The sequence below is a fragment of the Homo sapiens genome, chromosome 5 (assembly GCF_000001405.40).
Source record: "Homo sapiens chromosome 5, GRCh38.p14 Primary Assembly".
NCBI classification, from domain to species: Eukaryota; Metazoa; Chordata; class Mammalia; order Primates; family Hominidae; genus Homo; species Homo sapiens.
Window position 1 is genome coordinate 73,363,370 of NC_000005.10, and position 16,892 is coordinate 73,380,261.

The 16,892-nt window shown below is 43.1% G+C and overlaps 1 annotated feature.

Moving 5' to 3' along the window:
• Nucleotides 6,759–7,958: an enhancer, noted in NCBI's record as "P300/CBP strongly-dependent group 1 enhancer chr5:72665955-72667154 (GRCh37/hg19 assembly coordinates)". NCBI's record gives its function as "activates an origin of replication core promoter dependent on BRD2, BRD4, P300/CBP, MED14 and CDK7 cofactors, with strong dependence on P300/CBP, by STARR-seq in HCT116 cells {active_cell/tissue: HCT116}" and the evidence as "EXISTENCE:reporter gene assay evidence [ECO:0000049][PMID:35650434]".

Consider the following 16,892-nt stretch of genomic DNA (forward strand, 5'->3'; position numbering starts at 1 on the left):
TTAGAAGCCTTTTTAAAAAGGCAATCCTAGGCCATTCATAGTGGCTCATGTCTGTAATCCCAACACTTTGGGAGGCCAAAGTGGGTGGATCACCTGAGACCAGGAGTTCAAGACCAGCCTGGCCAACATGGCAAAACCCTGTATCTACTAAAAATACAAAAATTAGCTGGGCATGGTGGTGCACGCCTGTAGTCCCAGCTACTTGGGAGGCTGGGGGAGGAGAATCGCTTGAACCCAGGAGGCGGAGGTTCCAGTGAGCTGAGATTATGCCACTGCACTCCATCCCGGGTGACAGAGTGAGACTCCATCTCAAAAATAAAATAAAATAAAAAAGCAATCCTAATTATTTTATAAAAATTCCTTAAAAACTAACACACTTGTTTCCTTGCTATGACAAAAAATATGTTTCCACTATGTTTCCCTAGAAGCTTTCCAGCAAACACAACCATTATTACTCATAATTCTCAATAATCAATAAAATATTGGCCAAGCACTTTATTACTAAGATTACACACAATGAGGCATGGAAAATGTTATCTGTGGTTTATCCACCAAGAGTCTTAATGGAATACCTGCTGGAACCACAAAACCGTGCTGAAGACTATAGAGACACACAGATTTCCCTTCTCCTAAAGCCTTGCTGAATTGCTCTGCAAAGTGAAAAGCTGAGTCAATCCTCTGAAAAATCAGTGGGGAAAGAGCAGCTCCTTGAGGCAGGCTGTATCTTATATACTGGCCTCCTCCATCTGGTGAGGAGAAGGCATTCCTGGGAGAGGGAGTACTACCTGGTCCCTCCCTCTGCAGATGGGGAGCAGACTGTGCCTTGCCAATTCCATTTCTGTTCATTCTGATTCCCTGAAGTCATGACTTGTATCTAGACACAGTTCCTTCAGCTCCCGTTCAGAAAATTGTTGCTAAATCTTCCAAGGCTGCTGCAGTATTTGTGAGCTCTTTCATCATGTCAAAGGACTTCCACCAATCCCTCACTGACTGCTGAACTATACCTTGTGTTTCTTCAACCATATCCTCAAAGGAGCATGAGCTGCAGTAAAACTCATAATGCGGTCCAGTGTGATCTTTTGCCTTTGTTTCTTTGAAACAGCCCTCTTAATAACACTGCCTCACACAGTCTACCCAGGATAACCTGCAGGACTCGTTGGCTGACAGCATGTGCAGAATGGTGAGCTACTGCTCATTGCTCACTATGCTGCTGTCACTGGCTAATAGCATATGTGCATGGGAAATACATATATTAACTGTGAATGCTAATAAATTACATATAGATTCTAACTGTTTTCTGATTTTCCTTGTCCATCCCTCTCAGTACTTGAAGGGCTACTCACCTATTAAATTTGTTAATTGGAAGAAATGTCTGAAGATCCCCACAAGGCAAGTTTATTCAATTTAACTTTTCTAACTTGGTTCAGATTCACCATATAAATGCTCCATGTTTTACTTCACTTTGTCTCTGTTAAAACAGTCTCCACAACCAAGTTGAGCAGAAGAGTTAGAAACTGTTTCAGATATTCCTTTAGCTCACACACACCTTTGCCAGAAAAATTACCTTTCCAGAATTTCCAAAATTAAGGTCTCATTGTAAACACTTAATCATTTCACTACTGGACACCCTCATTCAGAGAGGAGCTGTCATTCAATTTAGTTTGTTTCAAGTGATTTTCTGTACTTCGGATGGAAGAAATAATGGTTGTTTTTTGTCCACCAGGTTTCTATTCTCTCTTCCTAATCAACAGCCTGATTCCTTTGGGGGAATTACCTCTTCCCCTTCTGTGTAGTTTTGGTGAGACTATACCTATCTCCTATCACAGAAACTGAGAGATTAGATCTTTTCCCTCTCATTGTGTTAATATAGCCATTGGCCTGCCTGTGATAAGAGCTCAACCAATAGGTTCCCCTATCAAGACTTTAAATTTTGAGTGACCCAAAGGTTACAGCTTTGTCTTTTTCAGACTGTTCCAGTTATGGCATCATTCCTATGACACAGGCCTCCTCACTCTGCAGCAGTCTTGGTTTCTGCCTATCCCACAGCACAAAATGAAGCAATAAATTTATTTATTTATTGAGCATGTCATAGGTGGTAAACATTGTTCTAGCCCTGACTCACCAAGACAATTGAGGAAAACATATTTATAACTCCAAACACACCTCTTTGGCCTGCAGGAGATGGCTCAGTAAGCTACTAAATTATTGCAGCAACTGTATATGTTTTCATTAAATCTGCAGATAAATGATCAGGCATGTATCCGGCGTTGTTCCACTGGCACTGCTGTGGACTAAACAATGGCCAGTGTTCTGATGTGAATCATTTGAATAGTTTTCAACCCACTTGACTATTCTGGGCTTTATTTGTCAGTTAAACAAATAAACCCAGAGCTTTTGTTTTTATTAGCCGGCTTGAACTACTGTGGCCCAGTTGAGACAGTACTACTTTCATTGCATTGCATCGCATCTCAGCAGGCCTGCTTAAAAGCCTTTGGTGGGCTGGGATTTCCCTTTCCTTCTCAGAACTGGTTTGATCAAAAGCTTCCCATTTAATCTGTCCTTTAGAGCCATCTATGGGAATGAAAAATGCTCCTGGTTGTGCTGATGCGAAAAGAGTGACAGCTAACCTCGGATTGGGACTACCTAGATTGAGGCACCTGTGCCAGGGAGGAAAGAACGTCACCCACCAGGAGAGCAGAGCAGAAGGCATGAGAGAGAGGTGGGCAGGGAGGGGACCGCAGGGTGGGCACAGCCAGTGCCTGGGCTGCCACTTTGATGAGGTGTGATCCCTGAGAAACCCTTGCACTTGTTGCTCTTAGTGGTATGTGTTCCACACAGGTGGCCTGAGGGAAGTGCTTGTGGTGTCCTCCTGAGGAGCGGGACAGGCAGAAGAAGGGAAACTGAGGTATCCTCAGGAGCCCCCTCATAAAGACATCTCTTTACCCCAAGGCCTTGTCCTGTGACCGCAGAAATGACAGCAGCAAAAAGGAACAGAGTGTCCAAGCTGACATTTTGCCAAGCCTTATTCAGCGGCCAGTCTCCTAAACGAGCCTCCCCGCTGATTTCCAACAGTTGAAGAATCTGGCTTCCACAGGGAACAGCTCTCATGAGCAGTGGTGCTGGAGACAGGTAATTTGAGGTCTCTATTTAGATCACTGGTCCTCAACCATTTTGGCACCAGGGACGGGTTTCGTGGAAGACAGTTTTTCCGCGGACAGGGGGCAGGGTGGTTTCAGGATGAAACTGTTCCATCTCAGATCATCAGGCATTAGTTAGATTCTCATAAGGAGCAGGCAACCCAGATCCCTAGATTGCATGCGCAGTTCACAACAGGGTTTGCCCTCCTGTGAGAATCGAACAACGCAGGTGATCTGACAGAGGGTGGAGCTCAGGCAGTAATGCTCGCTCACCTGCCGCTCACCTCCTGCTGTGCAGCTTGGTTCCTAACAGGCCATGGACTGCCAGTCTGTGGCCCAGGGTTTGGAGACCCCTGATTTAGATCACCCAAGCCCACAAGACCAACACACAGCCTAGGCACAAAAAGGAATGTTTAGAACTGAATTCCCCCCATTTGAGTCTTGAAGATAGATGCTCACTGAAGTGGAGAGACGTGGCTGGAAGGTAGAAAAAAAGGTGAAAGAGCCAATCGATCAGTCCAAAATGCAGGTCTGTTGTGTTCAAGTATTTGAATGAGGTTCTCAGTTGGCTCAAGGAGGACAGAAAGAAGGAAATAAGACTGCTGCTTCCCAGTGACTTATTCTTTTTTTTTTAATTGAGAAAATTCACATAACATAAAATTCACCATTTGGAAGTGTACAGTTCAGTGGTTTTTAGTATATTCACCATGTCGTATAGCTATCACCACTATGTAATTCCAGAACTTTCCATCACCCCTAAAAAGAAGCCCCATACCCATCAGCAGTCACTCTCCCTTCTCTCTTCCGCTAGCTGCCATCAACCATTAACCTACTTTCTGTCTCTATGAATTTGCCTATTTAGACATTTCATATGAATGAAATCATATAACACATGACCGTCTTTGTCTTCTTTCAGTCGGCATAATATTTTCAAGGTTCATTCATGTATCAGTACTTCATTCCTTCTTATGGCTGAATAGTATTCCATTGTATGGACGTACTGCATTTTGTTTGTCCATCATCAGTTGATGGACATGTAGATTGTTTCTACTTTTTGGCTCTTATGAATAACAGCACTGTGGATGTTTATGTGCAAGTCTTTGTGTGCAGATATTTTCACTTCTCTTGGGTATAGACCTAGAAGTGGAATTGCCAGGTCAGAGACTTCATTATTTCTTGAAATTCTGGTCCTCGGTGCAGAAGTATGGGACAAAATAACCACGATGCTGTGCTTCTTGCCACATTCTTGAATATGAAGCTCTAGGCTCAGAAATGCCATGTGATTTGACATGAGGCCTTGGTGCCTGCAGGAATGTGGTTGGAACCACATACTCCCTGGAAAAAGGAAGTAGAATGTGATGTGGTAAAGGAAGCCAGGCCAGAGTCAGAGGATCTTGCAGGGAGCACCCACTACCCCCTTCTTTATCCCAGCTACTCCTGTGCATGAGCCTGGGGTCCCTCCACATTCTATCCACTGCTGTCCTTCCCAGAAGCACCAAAATATTGGTCAGGTAGTCAAATAAATAGATGGAAAGAGTTAATAAGATATTTTTAAGTACTTGAGAATTTTATTTATTCTTTTTTTTTTTTTTTCTGGAGACAGAGTCCCTCTCTGTCACCCAGGCTGGAGTGCAGTGGTGCGATCTCAGCTCATGGCAACCTCCACCTCCTGAGTTCAAGCGGTTCTTGTGCCTCAGCCTCCTGAGTAGCTGGGATTACAGGCATGTGCCATCATGCCCAGCTAATTTTTGTATTTGTATTTTATTTTATTTTTTTACTTTAAGTTCCAGGATACATGTGCAGGTTTCTTACATAGGTATACAAGTGCCATGGTGGTTTGCTGCATCTATTGATCTGTCCTCTAAGTTCCCTCCCCTCGCCCTGCGCAGGCCCTGCTGTGTATTTTTCCCCTCCCTGTGTCCATGTGTTCTCATTGGCCAGCTCCCTCTTATGAATGAGAACATGCAGTGTTTGGTTTTCTGTTCCTGTGTTAGTTTGCTGAGGATGATGGCTTCCAGCTTCATCCATGTCCCTGCAAAGGACATGTTTCACTCCTTTCTATGGCTGTGTAATATTTCATGGTGTGTATGTACCACATTTTCTTTATCCAGTCTATCATTGATGGGCATTTGGGTTGGTTCCATGACTTTGCTATTGTAAATAGTGCTGCAATAAACATACGTGTGCACGTGTCTTTATAGTAGAATGATTTATAATCCTTCGGGTATATACCCAGTAATGGGATTGCTGGGTCAAATGGTATTTCTGGTTCTAGATCCTTGAGGAATCGCTGTATTGTCTTCCACAATGATTGAACTAATTTACATTCCCACCAACAATATAAACATGTTCCTATTTTGGCCGGGGAGGGGGTGGCTCACTCCTGTAACTCCAGCACTTTGGGAGGCTAAGGCAGGCAGATCACAAGGTCAGGAGTTCGAGACTAGCCTGACCAATATGGTGAAACCCCGTCTCTACTAAAAGTACAAAAATTAGCTGGGCATGGTGCGCGCCTATAATCCCAGCTACTTGGGAGGCTGAGGCAGAAGAATTGCTTGAACCTGGGAGGCAGAGGTTGCAGTGAACCGAAATTGTGCCACCTCACTCCAGCCTGGGCGACAGAGTGAGACTCTTGTCTCGAAAACAAAACAAAACAAAAGTGTTCCTATTTCTCCACAGCCTCGCCAGCATATATTGTTTCTTGACTTTTTAATAATCGCCATTCTGACTGGTGTTAATTTTTGTATTTTTTGTAGAGATAGGTTTTGCCATGTTGGTCAGGGTGGTCTCAAACTCCCGACCTCAAGTGATCTGCCTGCCTCAGCCTCCCAAAGTGCTGGGATCACAGGCATGAGGCACCGCGCCTGGCCAATTTTTGTTAAATTCTTTATCCCTTCATCCATGTGTTCTGTGGTGAGAGCCAGAGAATGACTGGGCTGGACTCCCTGCTAACAATCTGCCTTGGCCTAGTCTCATGTCCAGGTTTTCCTTCTGAGACAAAGAGATTTAGTGACAGTGCTTGCAGCTCCTGGCATAATGCACACTATGACGTTTCTGAATGAATGTGCTACTCTGTGGCCTTCCTCTTCATTCCCTCTGTAAACTGCTACCCTAGCAGAGCGGCCAGAAGAGAAGGCAGACTTTTCCTCTAATACAAGTTTTTACTTTATGTTCCTCTTATCACATCAATTCCATAGGTACTGTTGCAATAGTTCAAATGGATCCTCACCCTAAAGGTGTAGTTGCTAAGGAAACCCAAAGGATGCCAATGGAGGTTGTCTTTTCATTTTGTTGTATTAAGCTTGAAATGTTTCTAAAGTTAATTTTTAAATATTTTTAAAGGAGAGTCTGCATACTACTAGCTATTAAGACAGATATCTGGGAGCAATGTGTCCTAAGCTGCCCCCTAAACCTGTGTAGACCTAGCCTAGGTGGTCCATGCTGCTGGCAGGTAGGAAGGCCCTGTGTCTGCTCACAAGACAACCCAGTTTAATCCCATTTTTCAATGCCTACTGTAAGTGGTGGGAGCTCTGCTAAGACAAGGGGACACAAAAATGAATAAGACACAGTTGCACAGTTCCAGAAATATGTGAAGGAAGCTGGAATATTGGGCAAAAGGGAAAAGTTGAAGGTTTATGAGGGAAAAGGGAGGACAGTAGCCTGTATGGGGTCTTTTGCTTCATCAAGTCCATTGAGGCTTGAAAGCCAGTGAACCACGACATGGAGATTCCTTCTCCCTCGGCCATGAAGCAGAGGGGTGGTGGAGTTCTCTAGACCTAAGAAGTCCACTTGGGCCTTTCCTTGTGGCCTCAGACTCAGCAGGGAGTTCCCTCTCTAGACACTACTGAGATAGCAAACTCTAGATAATTCTCATGGTGGAATTATTTGCTTGGAAAGCAAAAAGATGCTAGGGGCTTCGGCTTCGGCAAAGTTATTTTTGCTACTGCTTCTTTTAGAAATGTGTATATTTTCGTATTATTTAAATCAAGTTAATTCTTATAGTCTATGATAAGTACATTCCCTTCCAATTTTAAGGGCATTAACAACCCAAATATTTATACTGATACACTTAATTAAGGAGGGTGCGGGGGTGGGGACAGTAGAAACAGCTATAAAAGCTGCTCCCTTATGGCCCTGTAGCAGAAAGAGGGTAGGGCCATGCTAGAGGGAGTCACCCCAGCACACTGCAGTCTGGAGGGGTTTCTTCCACTAGGCACTGGGATTCCAGCAATTTTTTCAGATACTTGTCAAGTGCTCTGAAGTCTTTCAGTCACACAGTTGTACCAGGAGTCAGCATTAGTCACATCCGCTGGTGATCTGGCAAATGCGTATGATAATAAGCACTGATTATCAGGGAAAAGGGGTTTCCTGACACAGTCACTCAGTCAGTGATTGTGTCTTTGGAGAAATGTTCTGTTTCCTTTGAGGTACTTTATCTGAAACCACCTTGTAAACATGAACCTTCTTGCTATTGCCCTGAAGTGAGCAACCTTATTTAAGGAAACGAAAAACTTCTCCCAGTGCCGGAGGGTGGACTGGGAAGCAGGTCTAGACATTCATTCTTTGCCTGACCTCTCAAAACCATGTTTGCTTGCTTCAGCCCTCATCTTCCCCTTGGAAGATAGGCGAGCCGAGGCAGCATCCACAGCAGGCTTTCAGCGCTTAAAATGTTAACTCACGTTTTTTCCAAAGTGTGTTTCTGGTTAGTTTAAAGAAGGATAAACAAAATTTAATAGCTGGCAATGAATCACATTTTTTTTCTCCCTAAACGCTATTTGGATCCACTCAAACGGCTGTCATTCTACTTTTGTACAAATAAATAAACCTACTTTTCTTTTGTGCATTTTTCTCTGTCCTGCATTTCCTAAAATACAATTTGTTTGACGGATGAGTCAAGCAGTTCTGAGGTTTGCTTTTGGCTCTGTAGGCAACTAGGTTGTTTTCTCATCATAATTCAATGGGACAAGGTTATCACCCTTACAAACACTAACACCTCATTTAGAACCAGAAGCACCCCCCCAAGAAGGAAGCAATTGTTAATGTTCTCGATATAAGTTTCAGTTGCTACATGTGAAGTTTCCTCATATACACATCTCTGCCCTGCCCTTTCCCTTTGGTTATGCTGGGTATATGCTGTGCACACAGACATTCTGAAGTGAAATTATAGGAAGATGGAAAGTAAACTTCAAAGAATGTACAGAGGAAGGCCCATCATCCACATAGACTTGGGCACTACAAGCAATAACCTAACAAGCAGAGACAAACCTCACTAGCATCTGAAAGCAACATTAACCTAGAAAGTATTTTTTTTTCTGAAATGCAAAACACATCACCATAGATTTTCTAAAAGACAAAGACCCGTAAAATAGCTGAACTGAAATTAAACATATGCATTTTTTTTTTTTGAGACTGAGTCTTGCTCTGTCACCCAGGTTGGGGTACAGTGGCCCAATCTCGGCTCACTGCAACCTCCACCTCCCAGGTTCACGCCATTCTCCTGCCTCAGCCTCCCAAGTAGCTGGGACTACAAAACGTATGCATTTTTTAAGGTAATCGTACTGGAGTAAAACTAAAATATTCTCCAAATAGACATTTCATTTTGTTTCAACTCCCTGGTTAAACAGAGAAGTATCTTTTAAGTAATTGCCCATTGTACTTATAGGTGAGGGAGGTCTGTAAAAATGTAAGTTGAAGGTCTTGTTAAAGTTCTCCTCACTAATGCAGAGACTCTCTGAGCCTGTTCCAAATCCTTTGTTAGTGCTTCTCATATTCAGAAGTGTTGCCTAGGAAAAAGGCAGGAGGGTCCAAGAAGGGAGAGAACCCAGAACCCAGAAGTGGGCTCATGTTTCTGCTTGTCCTCAGCTGGGTGGTTGGGGAAAGAAGAGGGAGAAGCAGGTTTCCACCTGAGAGTTATCTTCCGTCCCTCCTCTCCCCATCTCAACCAGCCAAGCTCAAGCTCAACCACAAAGCCTTGAAGCAACATGGCACAGTCTGGAGATTCTCCCCACCACAGTATTTTAGATTTTTTTTCTATCATAGTACTATTTAAATCTGCCTTTCAGTACTTATCATATCATATTGCGATAATCTGTTTACAAGCCTATAATTATCCTGAGGATAGGCACCTTACCATCTTTGGAGCTCCCAGTATCCAACTCAGAGCATATTAGATAACCAATAAATGAATAAATGAGTAAAAAAATATGAAAAAGCATTGATTAATAATCAGTTTCCTTTCCTAATGTTCATTTATCCATCATACATAATAAAATATATAATTTATAAAGTAATGTTGAGCATGATTAAGTTTTATGAAATTTTGAAAATAGCCTTAGGGGAATTAATCATTATGTCCACAGGGTCCTGGGGTCCAGGAAACCCAGACTGGGAAGTATTGGCCTAGACCAATGGTTCTCAAACTTGAGTATGCATTAGATTATCTGGAGGGCTTATTAGAACACATCAGTGGGCCCCTTCCCTAGAGGTACTGATCCATAGGCCTGGGGTGATGCTGATGCTTCTTGTCTGGGGCCCACGCTTTGAGAAAGATTGATCTAAGAGGATAAGCAGGGGCAATGGATGATGAGTCTGTGGTTTTTCTTCTGGCTCTGCCATCAACTAAGTGGTATGACCTTCAATACACTATCCATTTCATAGCACCCTATGGAGATGGGGAATGACAATGGCTCCTTACATCCACAAAGTACTTTAAGCCACACACTCTGGATCACTTACATGAACACAATTTTCTCAACTTTCTTCATGGGTATATAGGATAAATGTAAGAAAAGAAATATGATGATGCTTTGGAAAATCAGAAGTACCATAGAAACATGCTGTTTTATCATCATATTCTTTTTGGTCTTCTCTTCTTTGCCCTTCTCAATCCAAAATGGCAGATCCTAACGTTGTGTTGGGCTTAACCCACTGGTGTCTTCCTGAGTTGGACTTCTATTTTATTTTATTTTTTGAGATGGAGTCTTACTCTGTAGTCCAGGCTGGAGTGCAGTGGTGCAGTCTCCGCCCACTGCAAACTCCACCTCCCAGGTTCAAATGATTTTCCTGCCTCAGACTCCCCAGTACCTGGGACTACATACAGGCGCCCACCACCACACCCAGCTAATTTTTGTATTTTTAGTACAGACAGGGTTTCATCATGTTTCCCAGGCTGGTCTCAAACTCCTGTCCTCAGCTGATCAGTCCACCTTGGCCTCCCAAAGTGCTGGGATTAGAGGCGTGAGCCACCAAGCCCAGCTTGGGTTGGACTTCTGAGTGTAGAACTACTGATGTTAATTTAAGGAAACAACACTCTGGTTAGAAAACATGAAAAATGGCTGAAAAGTCTTATGTTGGGGGGTTTGCATCGTGGAGGATTTTCTGGGCATTCTACTAAGCTGAAGCAGAAGGACTGGCATCTGTTCAGTATCTGTGCTTGTGTCTCTACCCACTGATACCACAACCACCAGGCTTGTTTCCTGGGGATCTGTGCACTCAGATGGCCTGGCTGCTGGCAGCACCAACTCCAACATTAATCAACTTGACATCTGGAAGCAACCTGAGGCCCTCCTCAATCTGATTGCCACAAATGCCTTTACTTTCAGCTGTCAGCAAAGAGCTTATTCGGTTTAGGGTGCCAGGTCTACATCACACCATCCTCATGGAGGGCTGTACGATGTATTAACAAACAACCTGAATAAACTGGGAGTGTGGGCAAGACAAAAATTTCCCTCAGTAATCTGTCAACTCAAACCTACACCCAAAAGGCATTTTGTCTGAAGCAGCAAAATTACTGTGGTTGGGCAGATCTGGCTAGATTGTGTTCTACATATCCTTGGAGTGCATATTTTGCCCATTTTTGCAAATTACAATCCTCCTTGAGCTAACTATATAGCATAGCAGCAGCTACTTTTGAAACCCTTCAGTACCCTTTGGTCTGCTGTGGCCAAGACTTCATTCTTTAGCAGTGCTCAGAAAGATGTGGAAACCTTTCCTGAGGTGAGTTCCAAAGAAGCCCAGGCACTGCTTAGTGGATGGCAATCTACTCATTGCCATTGTTGTGACAGCAGGATGGGACTGTTGTGGTGGACACCATGTCAGTTATATTCCTTTTTATTTGAGCATTCCATGTATCCTAATATGGAAAGTAAGGCCCAGGACATTATCCAGAAGAGTTGCCTGTCAGAAATTGCTCTGTGATGTGTCAGGATGAAGCAGGCAATAAGGAATGAAACGTCATCTCATCAAGGAAAAAAAAAATCTGTAGATAACATTGTAAATCAGCCAGGAGACAAATGTCTGCCTGGGTTGTCACCCACCAGCTCACCGCATTGATTTCTCAAAGCCTAAAATCATACAGAATCCAAACCAGAACGGAAGAGCCTCCTGGCCTCCCATGTTCACTGATTTAATTTTCCCCTCTGAACACATACAGCCCCTTAATTAGAACATTTACCAACCATAAATACAATTTAAACTCCATACATATGTGCCTACACTTGTGGAGAAGCTTGAGCTGAGGTACGGTTTCAATAAAAACAGTCCTGCACTGATTAGAACGTGTAAAGAGGAAATCTGTTTATACCACAGTCTACTCAAAACTTGCGTTGGCAGCAACACTCCAGGCTAATAAATGTCAATAGCAAAACTACGTGGAGAGGATAAATTAAACTACCACAATCTGGAGATTGAGAACTCAATCTAAAATGCTATACCCAACTCATTCTGCTACGTCCAGTCATAAAGGAATATCACAAACTCTTGTCTAAATCTCAGACTCACGAAGGAGACCTGTTCAATGATACTACTCCTCTTGGTGAATTCAAGTTCACTCCCAAAAGGAAAGGAGTTTTTTTAAGGAAACTGCAGAGTCCTGCAATGTTTTTGGAAGGCATTAGTATTCACTCTCCATCTCTTAAAATAACAGTGGTATCATTCCAGATTTATAGAAGCATGAAGAATGAGATTATTGAATTAATTAAAAACCAACAGAGCATTTAAATTTGTTTGATGCTCCATTTCTCATTTTCTACTGATTTTATAGACACCAGAAATCAAGCACTGTCCATCTACCCACCTACACATCTAGGCCAGTAGCAGTCCTATCCTGATCCGTGCATGCCCTCCCGGGTCGAGAGGACCCGGCATCCCCAGCCACACTCAAGAACAAGCAGGAAGAGGAAGGGTACAAGTAGAAAAGCTGAAGGTGGTGGAAAATCTTGAGTGAAAAAAGAAAACTACATCCAAAGGCAGAGTGAGGTGTGGTGTGGAATAGCCTCCTGAGAGGCGAAATGGGCCTCACATGAGTCTCTTCCATAGGGGCTCATTAAAGAGGGATCTTAAGGTTGATGCAGGCATAACCAGTGGTACCAGAGAGAGTTACAGAAAGATCTTCAGGTGATGTGTGCGCATTTTCTTCAGGGTATCTGTGGGATAATTTACATTTATTGAACTGAAGGGAAAGGGAAGGAGCAGCTTGCTTGCAATAACAATAATAAAAACAACAATGGTAACAGCAGATCTGTGTTACATGCCACTGTTCCAAACCATTCACATTTGTTAACTCATTTAATCATAACAACCACCACCCTAGGAAGTAGGTATTATTATTATCCCCATTTCACAGATGAAGAAACTGAGGCACAGAAGTGTGGGAACTTCTCAATGTCATACTTCCAACGTCATACTGTTGGTAAGTGACAAAGGCAAAGTCAGGCAGCTCACTTGGAGCCGGGCAGCTTCACATGGTTCTCTGCTGCCTTTCTGAATGACCCAGCACATCCAGCCCTGCTCTAAGTGTTCTGCATAGATTGTAGCTCCTTGCTACAATGCTATGTGACAGGTACTATTATGCTCCCTGTCCTGCAGGTGTGGGCCCTGAGCACTGAGAGGTAAGTAAGCATTGATGGTAAGAAGAGCCCAGGCAGGCAGGCCTCAGAGCCCCAGCTGATGACCATCACTCCATACTGCCTCTTGACATGTCTGGGAGAAGCCAACTGTACATACCCATGTCCCCGCTACCCTTTCTGTCTGCCCGTTACACTTTCTCTAATTTCAGGCTCTGCCAGAACCCCTGTTGCACTCCCAAGTGACAAGTTTTTATTTGCATATCCTCTGTACTATCAGATGGGATGCAACATGCCCCAACCCCCTCCCCGCCACCGACACCTTGAACCAGGCTACCCTTCCCTTAACAGGGTCACTCAGGTGTTCACTTGGATCCTTCACAGTTAGTGAAGGCTCTGTGCACCCCAGAAGACACAAGGAGAGAGCCCAGGCAATTCTTTCTGATGACTCAGACTCAAGAAAAACTCCAGATAGCAGTACAGTCATTTATAGACCACTTCCAAGATATGAAATCAGTGCTTTTACATGTGTCATTTTATTTAATTCTCATAGTAACTCAGTGAGCATAGGTGGGACTCAAAATCCATGTCTATTTAGTGATGTTGCAATGCAAAACACCAATCTTTCCTACAGCCCTTTACAAATAACAGCAAAAAAAAAAAAAAAAAAAAATCTCACCCTCAGTTTATGGAACAAGAGGGGTTATTAGCTCAAATGGACTTATTATGTCAATTCACCCCAGAGGCCCCAGGGTTTCAACTCTAGGTAGAACAGGTTCCACATGGCTTTATTCCTTCAACGTCTCTTTCCAAATGAGAGCAGTCTCCATACTCCACCCTCTAGTGCATGTCTGGGGAGCTGAAAGCAGAGGGTCTCCATAAGGACCCCTCCTCTGTAAAATATCATTCCTTTTGTTCTCCTGAGAGCCCTGCCTGGTTAGCTGATCTTTCAGACATAATGAAAGATAGCTCTTTTTGGTTTATTTTCCCCAGATAGTTGCGGGAATGTTTTTCTGGGCTGGTGTTCAGTGGGTTTGTGTTTTTTGTTGATGTAATGGTGTTTTGCTATAGTGGTATTAGCATATTTTAAAAAGTTTTCTAAGCCATTGCCTATGCACCCAGGGGTGACTATTAAAATGATGGGGACATTTTCATAAATCCCAAACATAGATAAATATATAAAAGCAGTTAGTAAAGTGGGAAAAACTAACACAGCTAAAGAAACAAATTAGAAGGGTTTTTTAGAATCTAAAATGAGTTTCATGCCTAAAAAGAATTCCATAGAATAAAAATTTTATACATTTTAAAGGAAAAAACAATTCTATACGAATAATATGATAAATAAGAAATTCTGACTCTGATTTTATATTTCATCTAGATACTCAGGAGAAAGAAATATAGAGAGGAAAAAATTAAGCACATACAAATTGAAAATAACTATAATGTTATATCATATTTATGTATAAGAATTATTTTGTTGGAATCAAAACATGCATAACAATTTATTTTTAACTTGCCTTTAAAAAATACAGTGGCTCCTTTTGCTTTTTCTAATTTAATATCCCTGATCTTTACCATATCTGAAGCCCTCCCCAACGTAAGAGGTCAAGGCTAGAACTTGCTAATAACCATCAGAAGCTGGAAATTCTGGATCAAACATTTTCTCAAACAGAAAGAAGTATTTGCTTCCAAACTCCAACCAGGTAACAATGGTCTAAAAAATGACTAGAAATGCAGCCGGTGTTTCACTGTGGTTATTCTTTCTAATCACATACAACATTTCAAGTACTTTCCTTAAATCACTCCCAGGCAGTGAAGTCCTTTATATTCATCCTGTGATGGCGGCAGCCTTGTTGGGCAGTGTTTGTCCTAAAACAGCTGTTGAGATCCTAGCAGGGGATCCCAGCAGGGGAAAAAAGTCACATGATTCTTTAGCTCATAAACCAGCTAGTTTATTTTCTCGAGGATACATTAGGTAATCATGCTGATGCAAATAGCAAAGCTAGTAGCCCGGGGTTAGTAGCCAGAAATGGAGCTCTCTCACCTCACCTCTCTCATCTCACCTCATCTCTACTGCTGGTAGAGAATGATCCAGACGATATATTCAGCACACACACAGACCATGGGTTCCAGCTCTGCCCCTCAGTTATTTTCTGCTATCTACCAACAGAGCAGAGAGGGCGGGAAGAAAGCACAAAACTGAGCCTGGCCCCATCTGGCTGCTGGCTTCCCAGCTCCTCATCTGGTTTTCTCTCCCACGTGGCCTGAAGACCACTTGCTTGGGTGACCCAGAAAATATTCCTGTGACCTGTGCCTTTCCCCATGCTCTAACCATACCGCCAACAAGCCAGCGGCCTCCTCACTGCATCCTCTCAGCAATACTATATGGGCCCTTCCTACTATTCTAAGTCTTCTCAGTCTTTTCTCCCCAAGTGAATTAGAGGCTCCTAAAGAGCAGGAAATCCATATGCCTTTCATTATTGCTAGTACAGTACCAAGCAAACAGCAGTCTCTCAAAAGCAAATTGTATGAGGAGTCTCATTGGTGTGAGTTGTGATCAGTTGTACAAGATGGGTAAAAGGACAAAAGAAAACAAACAGCAGCAATGACAATTGGCAAGGCAAAGTCAGCCCCTGCTAAGAAACCCTGTTTGACTAAAACCTTGTTTTTATGATTGGCCCAGATATGGAGGCCTCGTACTCTGAAATAATCCTGTTGTCTTTCCTCAAGCTTTGGGTCTATGCTGACAATGAATAAAAGAGGAGAATCTTAACCTTAAAATCATTACTTTCTGGGGCAAACCTTCTAGCTCATCCCCACTAATGGATTGAAATGAGTGTCTGGAGCCAGGGACCTTTCAAATCCTCTGGGGATTTGGTTTCAGGAGGCAACACTGAAAATGCCACAAATTAAAATGCTCAGAGACCTGAGAAACGAGACTGCCTCTTACATATCAGGTCTATATCCAAGTAGTTATGTACACCTAAGTTCTTATTTCTTTGTGGGGAAGCAGGGGAAAGTCATGAGTTAATGAATTATTTTGCTTTCTGGATTTTGAGATGTGGGGTAAGTTGAAGTTTTCACTTTTTTCCCCTGAATAGTTTGATTTTTCAAATTACTCACCGTCAGTATCTATTTAAGTCAAATGAAGTTGGGGACTGAGGGTGGTAGAGAATTCAGGGCTGGCCAGCATGAAGGGGTGTGAGGAGCCCATTTCCCTCTGCCTTTGGAAAGATGGACGCCTTATCTGTGCAGACACAGGTTCTGGTTACATCACTGTTTTCCTGCACAATCCCAGGAGCAGGCCTCCTCCCTAATGGAGTTAGCAAAGGTCACTTTTCTCACTGCTGAAACTAAAATATGGTTCTTCCTCTGTAGAGAAGTTCTTTACTGATTTTATGGCCTTCCGCTGAATTTTTTTTTTTTTTTTTTTTTTTTTTTGCTATTTTCAGTATAAAGATATAAACAATTGAAGATTGCTCCCTTTGCATCTTCGTCAAGACAACCTCCATCACCTTTTCTACTGTGTGGTAAATAATTCTGGTTTTCTCCTCCACCAACTTTTCCTCCTCTTAAAAGAGACAGAAAGACCAAGCGAAGCATGGGAGGCAGAGAAAGTGGCTCATTCCTGCTAGGACACGGGGACAATGAACCTGCATTAAGGCAATAGTCAACGATTTCATTTTCACCTTCTTTCAGCCTCCCTAATCTTTGGGCCAAAGAAGCCCCCAACCTCAGATGCACACTCCCACACTTCACCCCAACCCACCTCGGGGCAGGGTCTGCACCCCCACCCGCTAGACCGGGAGAAGTCAGGCTGTGAGAGGCGAGCCTGCCACCAGCCCGAGGCTTTTCACCGCCAGCGTGGATGAGGTAACACCCGCAAAATCAGCATTTGCACACTTGCCAGGGG